The following is a 23,951-nucleotide window of genomic DNA, read 5'->3' as shown; positions in this document are numbered from 1 at the left end:
ATGTAATTATCCTCAACAAAATACTTACAAACCGAATACAGGAGCACATTAAAAAGTTAATCCATCACAATTAACTAGGCTTTATCTCTGGGATGCAAAGTTCATTCAACATATGCAAATCAATAAATGCTATTCATAACAAACAGAACTAAAGACAAAAATCATGATTATCTCAATAGATACAAAAAAAGCCTTGTGATATTAAATAAAATTCAACACCCCTTCATGTTAAAAACTCTCAATATACTAGATATTGAAGAAATATACCTAAAAATAATAAGAGCCATCTATGACAAAACCACAGCCAACATCGTAATGAATGACTAAAAGCTGGAAGCATTCCCCTTGAAAACCGGCACAACATAAGTATACCCACTCTTACCACTCCTATTCGATATAGCATTGGAAGTCCTAGCCAGAGTAACTACGCAAGAGAAAGAAATAAAGTTCATCCAAATAGGAAGATAGGAAATCAAACTTCTCCGTTTGCAGATGATGTGACTCTATATTTAGAATATTCCATAGTCTTGGCTGAAAAGCTCCTAGATCTGATAAACAACTTTAGCAAATTTTCAGAATACAAAATCAATGTACAAAAATCACTAGCATTCCTTTATACCAATAACAGCCCAGCTAAGAGCCAAATCAGAAATGCAATTTCATTCACAGTTGCCACAAAAAGAATAAAATACCTAGAAATACAGGTAACCATGGACATGAAAGATCTCTATAATGAGAATTACAAAACACTGCTCAAAGGAATCAGAGATGACACAAACAAATGGAAAAAACGTTACATGTTCATGGATAGAAATAATTAATATTATTAAAATGCCCATTCTGTCTAAAGCAATGTACAGATTCAGTGCTATTCCTATCAAAAAGCCAGTGACATTCTTCCAGAACTAAAAAAAAAAAAAAAAAAAAAAATTTGAAATTCATATGAAACTAAAAAAGAGCCCAAATAGTCAAGGCAATCCTAAGCAAAATGAACAAAGCTGGAGGCATCATGCTACCTGACTTCAAACTATACTACAGGGCAACAGTAATCAAAACAGCATGGTACTGGTACAAAAACAAATGTATAGACCAATGGAACAGAAAAGGGAAGATAGTACTGGTACAAAACAAATGTATAGACCAATGGAACAGAAAAGAACAGCATGGTACTGGTACAAAAACAAATGTATAGACCACTGGAACACAGAAATAAGGCTGTACACCCACAAACATCTGATCTTTGACTAAGCTGACAAAAACGAGCAATGGGAAAAGGACACCCTATTCAATAAATGGTGCTGGGATAACTGGCTAGCCGTATGCCGAAGATTAAAACTAGACCCCTTCCTTAAACCACATGTAAAAATCAACTCAAGATGCATTAAAGACTTAAATGTTAAACCCAAAACTATAAAAACCCTGGAAGAAAACCTAGGCAATACCATTCTGAACATACGAACAGGCAAAGATTTCATGCCAAAAGCAATTGCAACAAATGCAAACATTGACAAATGGGATCTAATTACACTAAAGAGCTTCTTCACAGCAAAAGACACTATCAACATAAGGAACAGAAAACCTACAGAATGGAAGAAAATTTTGCAAACTCTGCATCTGACAAAGGTCTAATATCTAGTATCTATAAGAAACTTAAACAAATTTACAAGAAAAATACACGTAACCCCATTAACAAGTGGGCAAAGAACATGACCAGACACTCTTCAAAAGGAAACATACATGTGGCCAACAAGCACATGAAAAGAAAGCTGAACATCATTGATTATTAGAGAAATGCAAATAAAAACCACAATGAAATGCCATCTCATATCAGTCAGAATGGCTATAATTAAAAAGTCGGCCAGGTGCAGTGGCTCACTCCTGTAATACCAGCGCTTTGGGAGGCTGAGGCATGCGGATCACGAGGTCAGGAGATCGAGACTATCCTGGCTAACACAGTGAAACCCCGTCTCTACTAAAAATACAAAAAATTAGCCGGGCGCAGTGGCAGGTGCCTGTAGTCCCAGCTACTCGGGAGGCTGAGGCAGGAGACTGGCGTGAACCTGGGAGGCGGAGCTTGCAGTGAGCAGAGATTGCGCCGCTGCACTCTAGACTGGGTGACAAAGTGAGACTCTGTCTCAAAAAAAAAAAAAAGATGAACAAAAAAGTCAAAAAATAACAGATGCTGGCAAGGTTGCGGAGCAAAGGGAACACTTATACACTGTTGGTGGGAATGTAAATTAGTTCAACCATTGTGGAAGGCAGTGTGGTGATTCTTCAAAGAAATATAAAAAGAACTACCATTCAACCCAGCAATCCTATTACTGGGTACATACCCAGAGGAATATAAATCATTCTACCGTGAAGATGCATGCACATGGCTGGGCACAGTGGCTCATGCCTGTAACCCCAGCACTTTGGGAGGCCGAGGCAGGTGGATCACGAGGTCAGGAGTTCAAGACCAGCATAATAACATAGTGAAACCCCGTCTCTACTAAAAATACAAAAAAAAAAAAAAAAAAAAATTAGCCAGGTGTGCCTGTAATCCCAGCTACTCAGGAGGCTGAGGCAGGAGAATTGCTTAAACCCAGGAGGTAGAGGTTGCAATGAGCCGAGATTGTGCCATTGCACTCCAGCATGGGTGACAGATACTCCATCTCAAAAAAAAGAAAAAAAAAAAAGATGCATGCAAATGTATGTTCATTGCCGCACTATTCACAATAGCAAAGACATGGAATCAACCTAATACTCATTGATGTTGGATTGGATAAAGAAAATTCCATATACACCATGGAATACTATTCAGCCATAAAAAAGAACAAGATCACATCCTTTGCAGGGACATGGATGTAGCTGGAGGCCATTATCCTTAGCAAACTAATGCAGGAACAGAAAAACAAATACCACATGTTCTGACTTAAAAGTGGGAGTTAAATCATGAGAACTCATGAACATGAAGAGGGAACAACACACGTTGGGGTCTCCTTGTGGGTGGAGGGTGGCAGGAGGAGAGGAGCAGAAAAAGATAACTATTGGGTACTGGGCTTAGTAACTGTGTGGCAAAATACTCTGTACAGCAAACCCCTGTGACGGTGTGACATAACAAACCTGTACACGTACCCCTGAACCTAAAATAAAAGTTTTTTTTAAAAAAGAAATAGATTATTTAATCAGATCCCATTTGTCTATTTTGGACTGTAAAGTAGTTCAACCATTTGTCTATTTTGGCTTTTTTTGTCATTGCTTTTGGTGTTCTAGTCATGAAGTCTTTGCCCATGCCAGTGTCCTGAATGGTATTGCCTAGGTTTTCTTCAGAGTTTTTATGGTTTTAGGTCTTATGTTTAAGTCTTTAATACATCTTGAGTTAATTTTTGTATAAGGTGTAAGGAAGGGATCCAGTTTCAGCTTTCTGCATATGGCTAGCCAGTTTTCCCAACACCATTTATTAAATAGGGAATCCTTTCCCCATTGCTTGTTTTTGTCAGGTTTGTCAAAGATCAGATGGTTGGAGATGTGTGGTATTATTTCTGAGGCCTCTGTTCTGTTCCATTGGTCTATATATCTGATTTGGTACCAGTACCATGCTGTTTTGGTTACTGTAGCCTTGTAGTATAGTTTAAAGTCAGATAGCCTGATGCCTCCAGCTTTGTTCTTTCTGCTTAGGATTGTCTGGGCAATGTGGGCTCTTTTTTGGTTCCATATGAAATTTTAAGTACCTTTTTTCCAATTCTGTGAAAAAAGTCAATGGTAGCTTGATCAGGTTAGCATTAAATCTATAAATTACTTTGGGCAGTATGGCCATTTTCATGATATTGATTCTTCCTATCCATTAGCATGGAATGTTTCTCCATTTGTTTGTGTCCTCTCTTATTTCCTTGAGCAGTGGTTTGTAGTTCTCCTTGAAGAAGTCCTTCACATCCCTTGTAAGTTGGATTCCTAGGTATTTTATTCTCTTTGTAGCAATTGTGAATGGGAGTTCACTCATGATTTGGCTCTCTGTTTGTCCGTTATTGGTGTATAGGAATGCTTGTGATTTTTGCACATTGATTTTGTATCCTGAGACTTTGCTAAAGTTGCTGATCAGCTTAAGGAGATTTTGGGATCAGATGATGGGGTTTTTCTAAATATAAAATCATGTTATCTGCAAACAGAGACAATTTGACACTCCTCTTTTCCTACTTGAATACCCTTTATTTTTTTCTCTTGCCTGATGGTCCTGGCTAGAACTTCCAATACTATGCACAGCAAAAGAAACTATCATCAGAGTGAACAGGCAACCTACAGAATGGGAGAAAATTTTTGCAATCTATCCATCTGACAAAGGACTAATATCCAGCATCTACAAAGAACTTATACAGATTTACAAGAATAGAACAAACAACCCCATCAAAAAGTGGGCAAAGGATACGAACAGACACTTCTCAAAAGAAGACATTTATGCAGCCAATAAACATGAAAAAAAGCTCATCATCACTGGTCATTAGAGAAATGCAAATCAAAACCACAATGAGATACCATCTCATGCCAGTTAGAATGGTGATCATTAAAAAGTCAGAAAAATACAGATGCTGGAGAGAATGTGGAGAAATAGGAACACTTTTACACTATTGGTGGGAGTGTAAATTAGTTCAACCATTGTGGAAGACAGTGTGGTGATTTCTCAAGGATCTAGAACTAGAAATGCTATTTGACCCAGCAATCCCATTACTAGGTATATACCCAAAGGATTATAAATCACTCTCTTATAAAGACACATGCACATGTATGTTTATTGTGGCACTCTTCACAATAGCAAAGACTTGGAACCAACCCAAATGCCCATCATGATAGATTAGATAAAGAAAATGTGGCACATATACACCATGGAATACTATGCAGCCATATAAAAAGGATGAGTTAATGTCCTTTGCAATGACATGGATGATGCTGGAGACCATCATTCTCAGTAAACTAACACAAGAACAGAAAATCAAACACCACATGTTCTCACTCGTAAGTGGGAGTTGAACAATGAGAACACATGGATACAGGAAGGGGAACATCACACACTGGGGCCTGTCAGGGGCTAGGGTGCTAGGGAAAGGATAGCATTAGGAGAAACACCTAATGTAGATGACGGGTTGATGGGTGCAGCAAACCACCATGGCACGTGTATACCTATGAAACAAACCTGCACATTCTGCACATGTACCCCAGAACTTAAAGTATAATTTTAAAAAAAGAAATAGATAAACTGAATTGTACTTTGATAAAGAAGTTGTATCTGTGAAATCCAGTTGAATCCATAATTTAAAGAAATTAAAACATTTCTTACAAAGACAACTTCAGGCCTGGATTGTTTTATTTTAAAGTTTTTCAACGTTTAACCAGCATGGCACATGTATACATATGTAACTAACCTGCACAATGTGCACATGTACCCTAAAACTTAAAGTATAATAATAAAAGAAAAAAAACTTAAAAAAAAGAAATAATTAATCTTAATCTTACACAAACTCAGATTATTGAAAAAGCTTTCTATTTATGAATACAGTAAAAGCTTGCTAACAAAACCTGAAAAGAGAGTGTAAAAAAGAGAAATAGTCCGGGCGCGGTGGCTCACACCTGTAATCCAGCATTTTGGGAGGCCAAGGAGGGTGGATCATGAGGTCAGGAGATGGAGACTATCCTGGCTAACACGGTGAAACCCCGTCTCTACTAAAAACACAAAAACAAAATTAGCCAGGCGTGATGACGGGAGTCTGTAGTCCTAGCTACTCAGGAACCTGAGGCGGGAGAATGGCGTGAACCCAGTGGCAGAGCTTGCAGTGAGCAGAGATCGTGCCATTGCACTCCAGCCTGGGTGACAGAGTGAGACTCCGTCTCAAAATAAAAAAATAAAAATAAAATAAAAGAGAGAGAGAGAGAGAAATAACAGGGCATTAGCTCTTATACATGTAAATTTATAAGTCTTTAGAATATATGGATATTGAGTCTGACTGTATATAAAAACATACCTTATGTCTAAATTGGCTTTACTCTAGAACGAAATGTCACTTTAAAATTCAAAAATACCTCATCTTAATCTTTTCCAGAAAAAAATAAAAAACAAAAATAGATTTATGTAAATAATAAAATTTATTGATAAAAAGAGGAAAATGATATGATAATTGCAATAGCTGCAGGAAAAGCACTTGATAAAATTTAACAACATTTCATGATAAAGTTTCTCATAACTAGAAATACAACTGTCTTATTTGACAAAATGTGTCTACTACTATCACTTTATTAAACTTATTACTGGAGGTTCTAGACAGTGCAAAACAAGCAAGTGTGTGTGTGTGTTTGTGTTTGTGTGCATGCACATACATATAACGTAAACCTAGCATTATTTACAGACTAATAGGATTATGTACATTGAATATACAAAATAATACATAAAACTATTAGAATTAATGTGAATTTTAGAAAGATAACTTGATATAAAATCAAAATGAAAATATTGTATTTCTATATAAAAATAAACAATTGAAAATTTAAAGTAAACAAGCCACATACAATAGCATAAATCTAATAAATAATGAGGAAGACTTCTGCATAAATAATTACCAAACATTGATGAGAGAAACTAAAGAGAACCAAACAAATAGAGTCAGATACTGTGTTCATGGATTGGAAAATGCAATACTGTTAAGGTTTCAATTCCTCCCCAAAAGATTTAAGGATTTAATGCAATTCCAGGACATTCTTTTGGTGGAAATTAACAACCTGATTCTAAAACTAATAGGTGAAAGTGCATCTCTACATCCCGCCTCAAAGATGTAAAATATCAAAGGCTACCTTGAAAAAAGAATATGTAAGTTCATAAAAATAAGAAAGAAAGAAGTAAAACTGTCTCTATTTTCAGATTATATGATTGCTTACATAACAATTATAGAAAATACAAAAAACAACTACTAGAAGTAATACGTGAAGTTAGCAGGGCAAAAGAAAAAAGCTAATTTGCAAAAGTCAGCAAAAATATCCAGTATCTGCACAGAAATATCAATTTTATCTTATTATTAGATGGAATAGTCTGTGCCTGAATGGCAAAGCTGGGCTATCAAAGTATGTACACTCAAAAATACACTTTTAAGAAGGAACATGATCTAAAAGAGAAAGTGCATCCATTCAGCCTTGTAGAAAGTGTAGGATTGGGTGGAGCCAAGATGGCCGAACAAGAACAGCTCCAGTCTACAGCTCCCAGCGTGAGCGAGGCAGAAGACGGGTGATTTCTGCATTTCCAACTGAGGTACCAGGTTCATCTCACTGGGGAGTGCCAGACAGTGGGTGCAGGACAGTGGGTGCAGCGCACCGTGCGTGAGCTGAAGCAGGGCGAGGCATTGCCTCACCCGGGAAGCACAAGGGGTCAGGGAATTCCCTTTCCTAGTCAAAGAAAGGGGTGACAGATTGCACCTGGAAAATTGGGTCACTCCCACCCTAATACTGCGCTTTTCCAATGGGCTTAACAAACGGCACACCAGGAGATTATATCCCGCACATGGCTCAGAGGGTCCTACGCCCACAGAGCCTCGCTCATTGCTAGCACAGCAGTCTGACATCAAACTGCAAGGCGGCAGTGAGGCTGGGGGTGGGGGGGTGCCCGCCATTGCTGAGGCTTGAGTAGGTAAACAAAGTGGCCGGGAAGCTCGAACTGGGTAGAGCCCACCACAGCTCAAGGAGGCCTGACTGCCTCTGTAGACTCCACCTCTGGAGGCAGGGCACAGACAAACAAAAGGCAGCAGTAACCTCTGCAGACTTAAATGTCCCTGTCTGACAGCTTTGAAGAGAGTAGTGGTTCTCCCAGCACGCAGCTTGAGATCTGAGAACTGACAGACTGCCTCCTCAAGTGGGTCCCTGACCCCTGAGTAGCCTAACTGGGAGGCATCCCCCAGTAGAGGCGGACTGACACCTCACACGGCCGGGTACTCCTCTGAGACAAAACTTCCAGAGGAACGATCAGGCAGCAGCATTTGCAGTACACCAATATCTGCTGTTCTGCAGCCACTGCTGCTGATACCCAGGCAAACAGGGTCTGGGGTGGACCTCCAGCAAACTCCAACAGACCTGCAGCTGAGGGTCCTGACTGTTAGAAGGAAAACTAACAAACAGAAAGGACATCCACACCAAAATCCCATCTGTACATCACCATCATCAAAGACCAAAGGTAGATAAAACCACAAAGATGGGGAAAAAACAAAGCAGATAAACTGGAAACTCTAAAAATCAGAGTGTCTCTCCTCCTCCAAAGGAACGCAGCTCCTCACCAGCAACGGAACAAAGCTGGATGGAGAATGACTTTGATGAGTTGAGAGAAGAAGGCTTCAGAAGATCAAACTACTCTGAGCTAAAGGAGGAAGTTCAAACCAATGGCAAAGAAGTTAAAAACCGTGAAAAAAAATTAGACGAATGGATAACCAAAATAACCAATGCAGAGAAGTCCTTAAAGGACCTGATGGATCTGAAAACCAAGGCACGAGAACTATGTGACGAATGCACAAGCCACAGTAGCTGATGCAATCAACTGGAAGAACGGGTATCAGCAATGGAAGATGAAATGAGTGAAATGAAGTAAGAAGAGAAGTTTAGAGAAAAAAGAATAAAAAGAAACAAACAAAGCCTCCAAGAAATATGGGACTAAGTGAAAAGACCAAATCTGCGTCTGATTGGTGTACCTGAAAATGACGGGGAGAATGGAACCAAGTTGGAAAACACGCTGCAGGATATTATCCAGGAGAACTTCCCCAATCTAGCAAGGCAGGCCAACATTCAAATTCAGGAAATACAGAGAACGCCACAAAAATACTCCTTGAGAAGAGCAACTCCAAGACACATAATTGTCAGATTCACCAAAGTTGAAATGATGGAAAAAATGTTAAGGGCAGCCAGAGAGAAAGGTCAGGTTACCCACAAAGGGAAGCCCATCAGACTAACAGTGGATCTATCGGCAGAAACTCTACAAGCCAGAAAAGAGTGGGGGCCCATATTCAACATTCTTAAAGAAAAGAATTTTCAACCCAGAATTTCATATCCAGCCAAACTAAGCTTCATAAGTGGAGGAGAAATAAAATACTATACAGACAAGCAAACGCTGAAAGATTTTGTCACCACCAGGCCTGCCCTAAAAGAGATCCTGAAGGAAGCACTAAACATGGAAAGGAACAACCAGTACCAGCCACTGCAAAAACATGCCAAATTGTAAAGACCATCAAGGCTAGGAAGAAACTGCATCAACTAATGAGCAAAATAACCAGCTAACATCATAATGACAGGATCGAATTCACACATAACAATATTAACCTTAAATGTAAATGGGCTAAATGCCCCAATTAAAAGACACAGACTGGCAAAATGGATAGTCAAGACAAATCAGTGTGTTGTATTCAGGAAACCCATCTCACATGAAGAGACACACATGGGCTCAAAATAAAGGGATGGAGGAAGATCTACCAAGCAAATGGAAAACAAAAAAAGGCAGGTGTTGCAATCCTAGTCTCGGATAAAACAGACTTTAAACCAACAAAGATCAAAAGAGACAAAGAAGGCCATTACATAATGGTAAAGGGATCAATTCAATAAGAAGAGCTAACTATCCTAAATATATATGCACCCAATACAGGAGCACCCAGATTCATAAAGCAAGTCCTGAGTGACCTACAAAGAGACTTAGACTCCCACACAATAATAATGGGAGACTTCAACACCCCACTGTCAACATTAGACAGATCAACAAGACAGAAAGTTAACAAGGATATCCATGGATTGAACTCAGCTCTGCACCAAGTGGACCTAATAGACATCTACAGAAGTCTCCACCCCAAATCAACAGAATATACATTCTTTTCAGCACCACACCACACCTATTCCAAAATTGACCACATAGTTGGAAGTAAAGCTCTCCTCAGCAAATGTAAAGAACAGAAATTATAACAAACTGTCTCTCAGACCACAGTGCAATCAAACTAGAACTCAGGATTAAGAAACTCACTCAAAACTGCTCAACTACATGGAAACTGAACAACCTGCTCCTGAATGACTACTGGGTACATAACAAAATGAAGGCAGAAATAAAGATGTTCTTTGAATCCAACGAGAACAAACACACAACATACCAGAATCTCTGGGACACATTTAAAACAGTGTGTAGAGGGAAATTTATAGCTCTAAATGCCCACAAGAGAGAGCAGGAAAGATCTAAAATTGACCCCCTAACATCACAATTCAAAGAACTAGAGAAGCAAGAGCAAACACATTCAAAAGCTAGCAGAAGGCAAGAAATAACTAAGATCAGAGCAGAACTGAAGGAGACAGAGACACAAAAAACCCTTCAAAAAAATCAATGAATCCAGGAGCTGGCTCTTTGAAAAGATCAACAAAATTGATAGACTGCTAGCAAGACTAATAAAGAAGAAAAGAGAGAAGAATCAAATAGACGCAATAAAAAATGACGGGATATCACCACCGATCCCACAGAAATACAAACTACCATCAGAGAATACTATAAACACCTCTACACAAATAAACTAGAAAATCTAGAAGAAATGGATAAATTCCTCCACACATACACCGTCCCAAGACTAAACCAGGAATTTGAATCTCTGAATAGACCAATAACAGGCTCTGAAATTGAGGCAATAATTAATAGCTTACCAACCAAAAAGAGTCCAGGACCACATGGATTCACAGCCAAATTCTACCAGAGATACGAGGAGGAGCTGGTACCTTTACTTCTGAAACTATTCCAATCAATAGAAAAAGAGGGAATCCTCCCTAACTCATTTTATGAGGCCAGCATCATCCTGATACCAAAGCCTGGCAGAGACACAACAAAAAAAGAGAATTTTAGACCAATATCCTTGATGAACATTGATGCAAAAATCCTCAATAAAATACTGGCAAACCGAATCCAGCAGTACATCAAAAAGCTTATCCGCCATGATCAAGTGGGCTTCATCTCTGGGATGCAAGGCTGGTTCAACATACAAAAATCAATAAACGTAATCCAGCATATAAACAGAACCAAAGACAAAAACTACATGATTATCTCAATAGATGCAGAAAAGGCCTTTGACAAAATTCAACAACCCTTCATGCTGAAAACTCTCAATAAATTAGGTATTGATGGGACACATCTCAAAATAAGAGCTATCTATGACAAACCCACAGCCAATATCATACTGAATGGACAAAAACTGGAAGCATTCCCTTTGAAAACTGGCACAAGACAGGGATGCCCTCTCTCACCACTCCTATTCAACATAGTGTTGGAAGTTCTGGCCAGGGCAATCAGGCAGGAGAAGGAAATAAAGGGCATTGAATTAGGAAGTCAAATTGTCCCTGTTTGCAGATGACATGTGTATATATCTAGAAAACCCCATCGTCTCAGCCTAAAATCTCCTTAAGCTGATAAGCAACTTCAGCAAAGTCTCAGGATACAAAATCAATGTGCGAAAATCACAAGCATTCTTATACACGAATAACAGACAAACAGAGAGCCAAATCATGAGTGAACTCCCATTCACAATTGCTGAAAAGAGAATAAAATACCTAGGAATCCAACTTACAAGGGAGGTGAAGGACCTCTTCAAGGAGAACTACAAACCACTGCTCAAGGAAATAAAAGAGGATACAAACAAATGGAAGAACATTCCATGCTCATGGGTAGGAAGAATCAATATCATGAAAATGGCCATACTGCCCAAGGTAATTTATAGATTCAATGCCATCCCCATCAAGCTACCAATGACTTTCCTCACAGAATTGGATAAAACTACTTTAAAGTTCATATGAAACCAAAAAGAGCCTGCATTGCCAAGTCAATCCTAAGCCAAAAGAACAAAGCTGGAGGCATCACGCTACCTGACTGCAAACTATACTACAAGGCTACAGTAACCAAAACAGCATGGTACTGGTACCAAAACAGAGATATAGACCAATGGAACAGAACAGAGCCCTCAGAAATAATGCCGCATATCTACAACTATCTGATCTTTGACAAACCTGACAAAAACAAGAAATGGGGAAAGGATTCCCTATTTAATAAATGGTGCTGGGAAAACTGGCTAGCCATATGGAGAAACCTGAAACTGGATCCCTTCCTTACACCTTATACAAAAATTAATTCAAGATGGATTAAAGACTTAAATGTTAGACCTGAAACCATAAAAACCCTAGAAGAAAACCTAGGCAATACCATTCAGGACATAGGCATGGGCAAGGACTTCATGTCTAAAACACCAAAAGCAATGGCAACAAAAGCCAAAATTGACAAATGGGATCTAATTAAACTAAAGAGCTTCTGCACAGCAAAAGAAACTACCATCAGAGTGAACAGGCAACCTACAAAATGGGAGAAAATGTTTACAACCTACTCATCTGACAAAGGGCTAATATCCAGAATCTACAATGAACTCAAACAAATTTACAAGAAAAAAACAACCCCATCAAAAAGTGGGCAAAGGATATGAACAGACACTTCTCAAAAGAAGACATTTATGCAGCCAACAGACACATGAAAAAATGCTCATCATCACTGGCCATCAGAGAAATGCAAATCAAAACCACAATGAGATATGATCTCACACCAGTTAGAATGGCAATCATTAAAAAGTCAGGAAACAACAGGTGCTGGAGAGGATGTGGAGAAATAGGAACCCTTTTACACTGTTGGTGGGACTGTAAACTAGTTCAACCATTGTGAAAGTCAGTGTGGCGATTCCTCAGGGATATAGAACTAGAGATACCATATGACCCAGCCATCCCATTACTGGGTATATACCCAAACGATTACAAATCATGCTGCTATAAAGACACATGCACACGTATGTTTATTGCATCACTATTCACAATAGCAAAGACTTGGAACCAACCCAAATGTCCAACAATGATAGACTGGATTAAGAAAATGTGGCACATATACACCATGGAATACTATGCAGCCATAAAAAAATGATGAGCTCATGTCCTTTGTAGGGACATGGATAAAACTGGAAACCATCATTCTCAGCAAACTATCGCAAGGACAAAAAACCAAACACCACTTGTTCTCACTCATAGGTGGGAATTGAACAATGAGAACACATGGACACAGGAAGGGGAACATCACACACCAGGGACTGCTGTGGTGTGGGGGGAGCGGGGAGGGATAGCATTAGGAGATATACCTCATGCTAAATGATGAGTAAATGGGTGCAGCACACCAACATGGCACATGTATACATATGTAACAAACCTGCACGTTGTGCACATGTACCCTAAAATTTAAAGTACAATAATAATAAAATTAAAAAAAAATAAAAGAAAAGCTACTCCTGCTTGCTTCTGGTTGCATTTGCGTTGAATGTCTCTTTCTACCCCTTTACCTTAAGTTTATGTGAGTCCTTATGTGTCAGTTGAGTCTCATGGAGGGAGCAGATAGTTGCTTTATGAATTCTTATCCATTCTTTAATTCTGTATCTTTTAAGTGGAGCATTTAGGCCATTTATATTCAATGTTAGTATCGAGATATGAGGTACCATTCCATTCATTGTGCTATTTCTTGCCTGTATACCTTGTTTTTTAGTTGTTGTTGTTTGTTTGTTGTTGTTGTTGTATAGGTCCTGTAATATTTACTCTTTAAAGAGGCTCTGTTTTAATGTTGTTCCAGAATTTCTTTCAACATTTATAGCTCCTTTTAGCAGTTCCTGTAGTGCTGGCTTGGTAGTGCCAAATTCTCTCAGCATTTGTTTGTCTGAAAAAGACTGTATCTTTCCTCCATTTATGAAGCTTAGTTTCGGTGGATACAAATTCTTGGCTGATAATTATTTTGTTTAAGGAGGCTGAAGACAGGGCCAAAATCCCTTCTAGTCTATAGAGTTTCTGCTGAGAAATCTGCTGTTAATCTGATAGGTTTTCCTTTATAGGTTAAGTCATCCTTTTACCTCACAGCTCTTAAGATTCTTTCCCTCATCTTAACTTTAGATAACCTGATGACAATATGCCTAGGCAATGACTTTTTGCAATGTATTTCCCAGGTGTTCTTTGAACTTGTATTTGGATGTCTAGGTCTCTAGCAAGGCCGGGAAGTTTTCCTTGATTATTCCCCAAAATATGTTTTCCAAACTTAGATTTCTCTTCTTCCTCAAGAAGGCTGATAATTCTTAGTTTGGTTGTTTAACATAATCCCAGATTTCTTGCAGGCTTTGCTTGTATTTTCTTATTCTTTTTTCTTTGTCTTTGTTGGTTTGGGTTAATTTGAAAACCTCGTCTTCGAGCTCTGAAGTTCTTTCTTTTGCTTGTTGGAATCTATTGCTGAGACTTTCCAGAGCATTTTGCATTTCTATAAGTGCACCCATTTTTTCCTGAAGTTTTGATTGTTATTTATGCTATCTATTTAATTGAAAATTTCTCCCCTCATTTCTTGTATCATTTTATCTTTTTTTTTTCACTTCCTTAAATTGGGCTTTGCCTTTTTTGGTACCTCCTTGATTAGCTTAATAACTAACCTTCTGAATTCTTTTCCACGTAAATCAGGGATTTCTTCTTCATTTGGATCCATTGCTGGTGAGCTAGTGAGATTTTGGGGGGGTGTTAAAAAACCTTGTTTTGTCATATTACCAGAGTTGGCTTTCTGGTTCCTTCTCCTTTGGGTAGGCTCTGTCAGAGGGAAAGTCTAGGGCTCAAGGCTGTTGTTCAGATTCTTTTGTCCCACGGGGTGTTCCCTTGATGTAGTACTCTCCCACTTTTCCCAGGGATGTGGCTTCCTGAGGGCAGAGCTGTAGTGATTTTTATCCCTGATTTTTATCCCATGCAGGTTGTCAGGGAAGTTGAAGTCACAGGCCTCACCCAGCTCCCACATAACCCGAAGGGCTGGTCTCACTCCCACCATAGCCCCTACAACAGCACTGAGTCTGTTTCAAGGCAGTGGGTGAGCAGGGCTGAGAATTTGCCCCAGGCTACCAGCCTCCCAGCTGCAAAAGCAAGTAGGGCTTTGGTACTTCCCCACCTGTGGAGTCTGCACACTGGATTCATGCCCTCCCCCAGGTTCTGGCCAGGAGACTTCTCAATCTGTTCAAATTGTTACAAAGTTCAGCTGGAAGTTTCCTTCTCTTTGTGACCATTTCCCAGTGCCTCTGGTAGCCCTCCTCAAGGACCCCTGAGAGGCAAGGCAGAAATGGATAGCTAGGGAACCCTGTGAGCCCACAGGGCTTTTCGCGCTGCTTTCTCTAGCAGTGTATGTCACTTGGCTCTCTAAATTGACTCAGCTCCAAGTAAGGTCAAAATCTTCTCCTGTGATCTAGACCTTTAGGTTCCCCAGTGAGGATGTGTGTTCAGGAGCTGACTATTCCCCTTTCCCACTTCCACAGTTTGCAGTTTGGGCTCCCACAGCATTTGGGGTGTCTCCTGAGACCTGCAGGAGCAATTCACTTCCTTCAGAGGGTCTGTGGGTTCTCTCAGCTTTCCTGATTTATTCCTGCAGTCAAAGTTCATGATACAAGCCTCCACACGCTGCTTTGTCTGTCCAAGTGGGAGCTGCAATCCAGTCCTGCCTCCCATCCACCATGATCTCTGGAATACATCTGAAATGTTCTATGTCTTGATTTGAGTGACAGTTTCACACATATACTCATGTATGTGTGTGTGTGTATATGTGTGTGTATATATATATATGAGTTATACACTTACAGTTTGTGAGTGTTACATTTTAATAAAAATAAATCTTAGAAATGACTACATATTTGTTCCTTTTCTTTTATCAATATACTTCCGCTAGTATTCATATAGAGAAACAGGGCTAAATTCATGTTTACAAAGGTAAACGGCAGAATGAATTGATATCCTAGACATTGAAAAGAACAAATGTGAGATTAAAATTTCAAACAGTTTTGAAAACTACTACATTGTGTACTCTTGCACTATCTCTCTCTTTCTTGATATCAGACCATTGCTCATGCTGCTTTCTCTGCTTAAAATGTTCTTAATTCTCCCGTGACTTGTCTACTCATCCTTTAGGTCTCATTGCTTGCTCTGGAAAACCTTTCCAGAACCCCAAGTCTGAGTTAGGTACCCCTCTTATGTACTCTTATAACACCCTTTGCTTACTACTATCATCCACTTGACACTCCATAATGCAGTTGCCTTCTTAATTTGTTTCCCAATTAAGCTGTCAGTTCCTGAAGGGAAACTTGAGTTACTGAAGGTTGTATCTTCCACACTTGGCACAGTGCCCAGTAGGTGCTCACAAATCATGTGTTGAATTATTATTTGGATGTAGAACAAGCTGGACCTATCAATTCTCAGCAGAAAGATCATGTATGATTCCTGATTCCAGCAGTATAGCACAATGGACTTAGAGGCAACTGGGAACAGTTAATCACTGTCTACGTCACCATTGTAGTGATGAGAGTTTCTCACTTCTGGGGTTTCTTCAACACACATCACATCTCATTATAATTTTAAAGAAAGGAAACTGAAAATTGGATTAAAGAAATCTCATCACTAGAAGGTGTTGAAGAAGACTCCTAAATAAATTAGATTTCCAAACCCAAATGCCAAAAGCTTAGAAAGAGTATAAATGCATGTGATGGATTGCGTTTTTGCTCCCAATTATTAGGGCCCTTCCTGTAAGTGTTTTATATATCCTCACCATTGAACTATGACTTGCAGGACTTCCATTTGGAAGAATTATATTTACTTGTCCCATTGAGGTCAGCTTGGCCACTGATTTACTTTGGTTAATAGAATGTGAGAAAAAAAAATAACACATACCATGTCTGAGAGGAAGCATTAAAAGCCATTCCTTATTTGGCCTTTTTCCCCCAGTTTGCAACAAGAACAGCATATTCCAAACGGAGGTGGCTCCTTCAGTCTTGATCCTGGAACTTGTCACCATCATAGACCAAATGTAATGTGAGCAGGAAATGAACCAGTGTTGCTGCAAGACACTGAGATTTTGAGGCCTTACCACAGTAAAACCTAATCTAAGAAATGGAAGCAAGCATCAGGTGGAGCACTTACCAGACTCAAGAAAGCCTATTTGTCCCAAGAGACAGCCAGTCCTTAGCTCTCATGGATTGTCACAATGTAGACCTGCATGCTAACTCTTGCCAGATCTTCCTGTAAGAGGAGCCAAATTTTTAATTAAATCAATTCCTGATTTTAATTAAAATATACCTTCTTTTTAAATGTTGGCAGCTAAATCCATACGTTTAAAAAACACTTAGGGCAAATCAAATCAGGTAATACACCCATAATCTCTTTTCCATTCCATAGTTTGCTCATATATAAAATAAGAATGCTAATATCTGTTCTGTCTCTCTAACAGGGTTATTTTGAGCGTTAGATTTATCTTACCTTGTAGTTGTTTTTTTATTTAAAAAAATTTTGAAATGATAAACTAACAAAGGTCAGGGAAAGTTCTTAGATTACTCTGGCAAAGCAGGCTGGACAATTCTAAGGCAACGAGGTACCACGGAGGCTAGTAGTATAAACCACTGTGCCTCCACTTTCCTGCCCCTCCCCTGTTCTCCACTCCTCCATGCAAAACATGAAAAGCACACTTCTCCACTGGCAGATCAGACTAGCATGCAACCATCTTCAGGAATAATCTAAGCCTGAAATAGTTGAGAGGTAAGTAATTGACAAAAATGAATGGTTCTCTGTCATGAAACAAGCAAGGTATAAGTTTGTGTTGATCGATCCAAGTTGCCTTTCCTAGATTATAACATTGAACTTCATCCTTCTTAACTACGTCATAGAAATGACTCAGGCAATTCAAAAAATAGCCTAAAGACATGTAGTATCAAGAAAATTGGATAAGTTTTTTATGTTTGATCAAATGCCTCAAAAGTACTTGTTTTATTTTATGCAAAGAGTCAAAATTCTTAAAAGATGTGGATTTATCTAATAATTTGCATGATATAGCTCATAGGTAGAATTTTATGATAATTCTGAATGTGTACTTCAGTAAAAATATTTTTGAAAAAATTAAAGAAGATTAGGGAATGCCTGAAAAAGAAATATGTAATCTGACGTATATTTTTTTCTGTTGCATTTTCAGGGCTCACATTTTTTCCTTCCATTGTGCAGATACGCCACTAGAGGGCACTATATGGCTCTGCTTCCTCACACCTTGTGTGAGGTGCTGAATCTGACCTCTGATTTCCTCATTGAGAACCCTCCAGGTTTTGACTTACTTTAATAGGGCCAGGTACTCTATAGGGCATTGTGCCAGATGCTGGAAACAGAACAACAGAGACAGGACCCACAAATACAAAGCAACAGATTGTTCACAACAACCTGAGACAGGTGTTAATAAACAGGCATGTGTAAGCACTACAGGAGTTTAGAGAATTGCTAACGATGTGATTCTGCAGGAAAGGAAAGTGGGAGGTCATGGAAGAGAAAGCACTCTCAGACTCTGACCAGTCCAGGCTGAAGGAGGTATGAAAGCTGAATTTTAGGCTGAGTTTCCTTTTCGTTTTCCCCTTCCTGCCTTAGCAATGGACCTCCATACTGGAGGGAACCTGAAGCTAGGACATGACATAGGTTACCCGCAGGATATATAAAAAATGATCAGCCTATACACCCAGGACTGCCTGTGAGAAGTTGCTTTCCTCTGCACTGCAATATTTATTTGTCATTTATTGATTTGAGAAATATTTATTGTCAAGTGTGCCCCAAGCACTCATTGGTAAATAAAATAGTCATAGGGTGTGCCCACTTAAAAACTGTAGTCCAGTAGAGACACAATGATTGCAATGTAGTGTAATAAGTCCTATGATAAGAGAAGAAGATGAAACCACACAAGTATAGAGCAGGGGCACCTGACAAAGACAGGAAGTCAGGGAAGGCTTTGTGGAGGAAGTACTATTCAATTGAGACCCCAAGCAGAATTGGAGGCCACTTAAAAGAGTAGGTGTATTCCAGGTGAAGATAGCACAACCCAGGAAAAAAAGAATCCAATAGGATTTTATTTGTGTATATACAATTTTCAGATCTTGCTGTTTTCCACTTATCCATTTTATCCTGAGTCTCCATATCTTTATTTTTGAAAACATGATTTTAATAGTTGCTCTAATAGTCCATCGTAAGAATAGTGACATTTATTTACCCATTTTCAGAAATAGCATTTTTAAGACTCATGCTAATCGCTCTCCCTTTGTCAATATAAAATTGTGTGAAATAATTCTTACTGCTTATATGAATATCAACAACATTTCCTTTACTTGGCTGACTCTTGAGCACAATTCCTGCAACTCAACCTGATATCCAGCCATAACAAACACTGAATTTATAGAAGGTATTAATTTATTATGTATTGTTTAATTTTAACTTTTTAATAAAATTTGCTGCAGTTGTTTTACATGAATTGGCAGGGCCTTAAGAGGCATTCTGGATTCTTGTCCTGCTGCTCAGATTACCCCCTCTGTGTCATTCATTCTTCCATCCTCCCCAAGTCTGCATCTCCGCTGCCTCCATCCACTAGTCCCTCATTCTCAGGCTCCTCCCTCTCTGGGATGCTCTGCTGATACTTATCTCCATCTTTCTCCAGTAAATAATTTTTTTTCTCTGTCGCCCAGTTTCCTGAAGCTGCAAACATTAGCTTCATAAATGATTTTTTTAAACCACACTTTGGGTAAATATGTATGTATGTTATATGTGGCAAATTGCTCACATAGCAAATTGATTTTCTGGGTCAGGCAGGAAAGACTTTCACAAAAATCTTACAGGAAGTAAGATGATTTAGATGGAGTATCCAGTCACCTTCTGTTGAACCATTTCAGACCTAATTTATATTTTTTGTTCTGTCTGCCTTTAAAATTGAGCTTCCTCGCATTTTCATACCTTTCATTTTAACCTACTTTACTCATAAGGTTTTTGGTTTGTTGGGTTTTGTTTCTGACTGTTTGCATTTATTGTCTTGGTATTCATTTATGCTTACTTAGCAAGGTATATTTCAGACAGAAACAGCTCACTGGTTTCATAGCTGCGCAGTACTAGCTCTTCAGTTCAAACTCTCTTTTCACTGAAAGATCTGTTGCATCTCATGTCTCTTACATTGCTGTGTGGCTCACCATGAGTTTGGGAGTCTTTCAGAACCTCAGAACACTCAAATGATTTAAATTTCTCAAATACATTCATTTCACATATAGGAAGTCACTTTCATTTGGACCACTGGGTCTTGACATTAGAAATGAGAAGGTCCATGGCTCCACAACAGCTACCTCAGCCTGGCACGTGCCCTGGCCTCAGAGATTCACAGTCCAGTTCTTTGTCCAGTTGGGTGGCTCCTGTCTACCACCTTACCATGCCCACTTAACTGATGCAAAGTTAATATCACAAGTAGCAACCTGTTCCTTGCAGTGAAAATTTTACTTACCACTTTCATAGCCCCAAGATATCCATGTATCTTTATTAACAGGCGCTTAACAACTTGCATCATTTAAAATGCCTCCCCTGCCTATCAGCTGATGATGGCCGCAGGAAGGTGGGCCTGGAAGATAACAGCTAGCAGGCTAAGGTCAGACACTGACACTTGCAGTTGTCTTTGGTAGTTTTTTTGCACTAACTTCAGGAACCAGCTCATGATCTCAGGATGTATGGAAAAATAATCTTTGTATTACTATTGTCAGGTAAGTGATTTTATTTCATCTTGGTTCTGTTATATTGGGTATGAGATCATAGAATAAAATATGAACTACCCTATTTTAGTTCTATCTTATTTAAATCAATAAATGAGTAGTATTTCCTCTTCCAGTCTGGTGGATGGATTTTACTGGAACTCAGCTACCAATGTGGGGGAAATGGCACAAGGGAGCCCAGTATTTATGGCCAAATCCAGTTTTCTAGTATGAGAAGCTTACTTCAATTCTAAGTCTAGCTAGAATTAAAATAATTTTATCAAATGCTATGAGAAATACCTCTCTGTGAATAAATGTATTGCTTTGTTTGAGTTATAAGGAGATTCATTTCCAAACTAAAGAGTTATTAACGAAGATGTTGGTAGCTATATGGCTTTTAGTTTTCAAAAGGTATAATTTCCTATTTCTGCCAAATGGCGAGAAGCCAAAAGCATGAACACTGAAACCGTGGGGAGTTGTTCGCTTCTCTGTGGGTCCATTACTAAAGTGTCACATAGGAAGAAAAAAAACAAAAACAACTCTTACTGGCTTAGGTATCCTGTGAATTTTAGGAGAAATTTAAATCCATTAAAATAAAGAAATATCATAGGGTTATTATTAAATTGTATTAATTCAATAATTTGAATTTAACTTAGTTTAAATTTAATTATTAATTTAGTGTCTTAAATTAACATGATTTTGGCCTCTTTCTGAGAATATTATAGTTAAACATCCTCTCAAGTGCAGTGCTTATGTGTTAGCAATACTAGTGCCCAGCACACAGCGGGCAGGCAGTTGCTTGAAACATTCTGAGTCTATTAGACATTGCTGTATCCCAAGTGAGAGCAAGTATCAAGGAGCTACTGAGCACTCTGTAGCACACAGGGAGGAGAGATCAGCATTTTCTAAGATACCCTAGGGGAGGATAAAATAGTGCAATAGTTAAGAGCACAGGCATGAGGAACAGACAGAACTGGGTTCAAATCTACTTTTACTTCTCAAGGCTGGGGAACATTAAGGCAAATTATGTGCCCACATTTTTATGTGTCCTCGTCTTTAAAATGCAGGCAGTGTTGGTACTTACCTCATAATAATTGCATAAAGATTAAACAAAATATTTAATGGAATACACTTACTGATGCCTGAAACAAAGTAAAATGTTAAGATTACTATGCATTTTCTGTGATTAGAATTAACTATCATGATTAAAAAGTATTAATAATATATTATTAAAATAAGCAGTAGCTATCAATAGTTACAGACTAGGGAACAAACCTACGTATGTGATTGGTGATTTCTGAAAAGTCAGAGAGAAAAGAAAATTACAGAAAGAAAACAGAAAACAAACATAGCTACTCTAATTTTTTAAGCAGAAAAGTATGAAAACATTTAGTTTGAAGAAAAGAAAACAAATGAAAGGGATGTAGTGTAATATTTGTATATATATTCATATATTTGAAGTGCTATTACACAGAAAAAAAGATGTATTCTTTGTGTTGCTCCATGGGGCAAACCAAACTGGATGTAACTCAAGCAAAATTAGACACTGCATACTCTACTGGGGGTGTGCCCAGCATTTGGGAAAACTCTGTGTGACTTACAAGTGCCCCAAATTTGGAAAGGGTTCCTGGCAAAGAAATGATTTTTTTTTTAAATTTCTACAACTACACAAGCAGATAGTGTATTAAAGCCTTAAATGGCACTTGGTCACTGGGGCAAGATGACCCTGAAAGCTACAATGGTCTCCAGTACCCAAGCTGTTATCATCTTTGTAGCTTCAGAAACCCTCCAAGGAAACTCTCTTGATGTGGCTACTTTATAGTATAACAGAAAGGTGTAAGATCAAGTTTTTCCCCCATACTGATTAGCTGAAGAGTAAACATGGTGAAGTCTTTTTCTTTTTCTTTTATGTTGCTATAAAAAAAAAGATGATTGCCTTGCTTTCTCCAGGAATCTTAAGAATAAAGCCAATATTTCTAATTCTAAACTTACCAGAGATCTCCTTCCAAATGGAGAATCCATTTTTTCTAATATGACTTGATTCCCAGTCCCTGAATTCCTGCACTCATTTGATGATTCAGTCATTACATGTCAGATTGTGAACCAGACACTGAGCCCACAGCAGGAAGAAAAATGGGCTCCCATGGAGGATACACGGAGGGTAGGCGCAGTGGATGATGGGAGGGAACGCAGATAATAAATGGAACAACAACTATCTTATTAAAATAAGATAAAAACAGTCAAAACTAATACAAAGCATATAAAACCAGGTAAGATGATAAACATGAATGCCGAAAGCTGCTTAAGAAAAGGGTAGCAGGGAGTTATTTTCTGAGTAGATGACATTTATGCTAAATGTGGAACAAGGAGACGGAGCCAACCCTGAAAATTCTGGGAAAAGAGGACAGAAGGCAGAGGGAAGAGCAAGAGCAAAAATTCTGAAACAGCAGGTAAGTTAGTGTTTTCAAGGAAAAGCTGGAGCTTTTATCTGAAAATCAGATTCTGAAGCTAAGAACCAATTTGAAAATACAATACAATATCACTTCGACTAGGAAATTATGGCATAAACCAGGAGTCTCCAAAAGCTTTTTGTGTTTACTTAAAAATTCATACAAAATTTGCATTCTAGGTCATAATATACTAATTTAATTGGAGGAAACAAAGGCACTGGTATGATATCATCATGCCTACTTTATTCATCCGTGTATCCCCAGAATCTAGCACAGTTCCCGATTGGTATTTATAGTAGCATATTGGTTGAATAAGCAAGGAAGGAGGTGAAGGGAGGGAGAAGGAGAGAGAAGCAGAGAGGGAGAGGAAGGAAGAAAGAAAAGGAAAAAGGGAAGGAAAGAAGAGAGGAGGGAGAGAGGGAGGGAGGCAAGAAGGGAGAAGAGAGAAGGGAAGGGAAGAGACAGGAGGAAGGGGAGGAGGAAAGGAAAGAGGAAATATTTGTTTTCATCTGGTTAGACACAGTGAGTGCTCCGCATAGACAGATCATTATTACCCTGTGCATCTGACTCATACCCCTGCAAGTACATCAGTCTGAGAAGCACATGTTAAGTGAAGAAACAAGGCATCTCTTTTTTTTTTTTTTTTCAGGGATCCAAGAAGAGAGCCTTGCTAGCTGCTATTTAATTGGCACAGGAAAGAGTTACAGGAACTGTATGCCAGGGAATACATGACTATAAATTCTTTAAAAGCAAAACCTGTGTCTTCGCTTATGTGTCCCACACATTGTCAGCCACATAGTAGGCAGTCAATATCAACTACTCAAAATGACAAATGACAAATGACCAGAATTCTGCGGCAGACTAGTTTAGCCATGAAAAATCATTT

General features: G+C 38.7%; 1 protein-coding gene and 1 long non-coding RNA gene across 8 annotated transcripts in view; one reads left to right on the top strand and one right to left on the bottom strand.

The window, feature by feature from the left end:
- The window catches only part of LOC105377460 (uncharacterized), a 106,316-nt gene that overhangs the window by 23,288 nt on the left and 59,077 nt on the right, over nucleotides 1-23,951 (bottom strand). The window contains exon 9 of the long non-coding RNA XR_002959803.2: nucleotides 17,011-17,109. This is a non-coding gene — a long non-coding RNA (uncharacterized LOC105377460). The remainder of the gene's footprint in view (nucleotides 1-17,010; nucleotides 17,110-23,951) is intronic.
- The window catches only part of GYPA (glycophorin A (MNS blood group)), a 31,416-nt gene continuing 27,972 nt past the window's right edge, over nucleotides 20,508-23,951 (top strand). For 6 of the 7 annotated variants that reach the window (NM_001438626.1, NM_001438625.1, NM_001308190.2 and 3 more), the window contains exon 1: nucleotides 20,508-20,627. In NM_001438626.1, the coding sequence (NP_001425555.1) occupies nucleotides 20,591-20,627 (37 nt within the window). In that variant the 5' untranslated portion in view covers nucleotides 20,508-20,590. Of the gene's footprint in view, nucleotides 20,628-22,982; nucleotides 23,066-23,951 lie in introns of all 7 variants that reach the window. The other variant, NM_001438627.1, reaches the window with a different exon arrangement.

This window comes from Homo sapiens, chromosome 4 (assembly GCF_000001405.40).
Source record: "Homo sapiens chromosome 4, GRCh38.p14 Primary Assembly".
NCBI lineage: Eukaryota > Metazoa > Chordata > Mammalia > Primates > Hominidae > Homo > Homo sapiens.
Note: the sequence above shows the minus strand (reverse complement) of the source record. Positions and strands in the feature narration are given on the sequence as shown.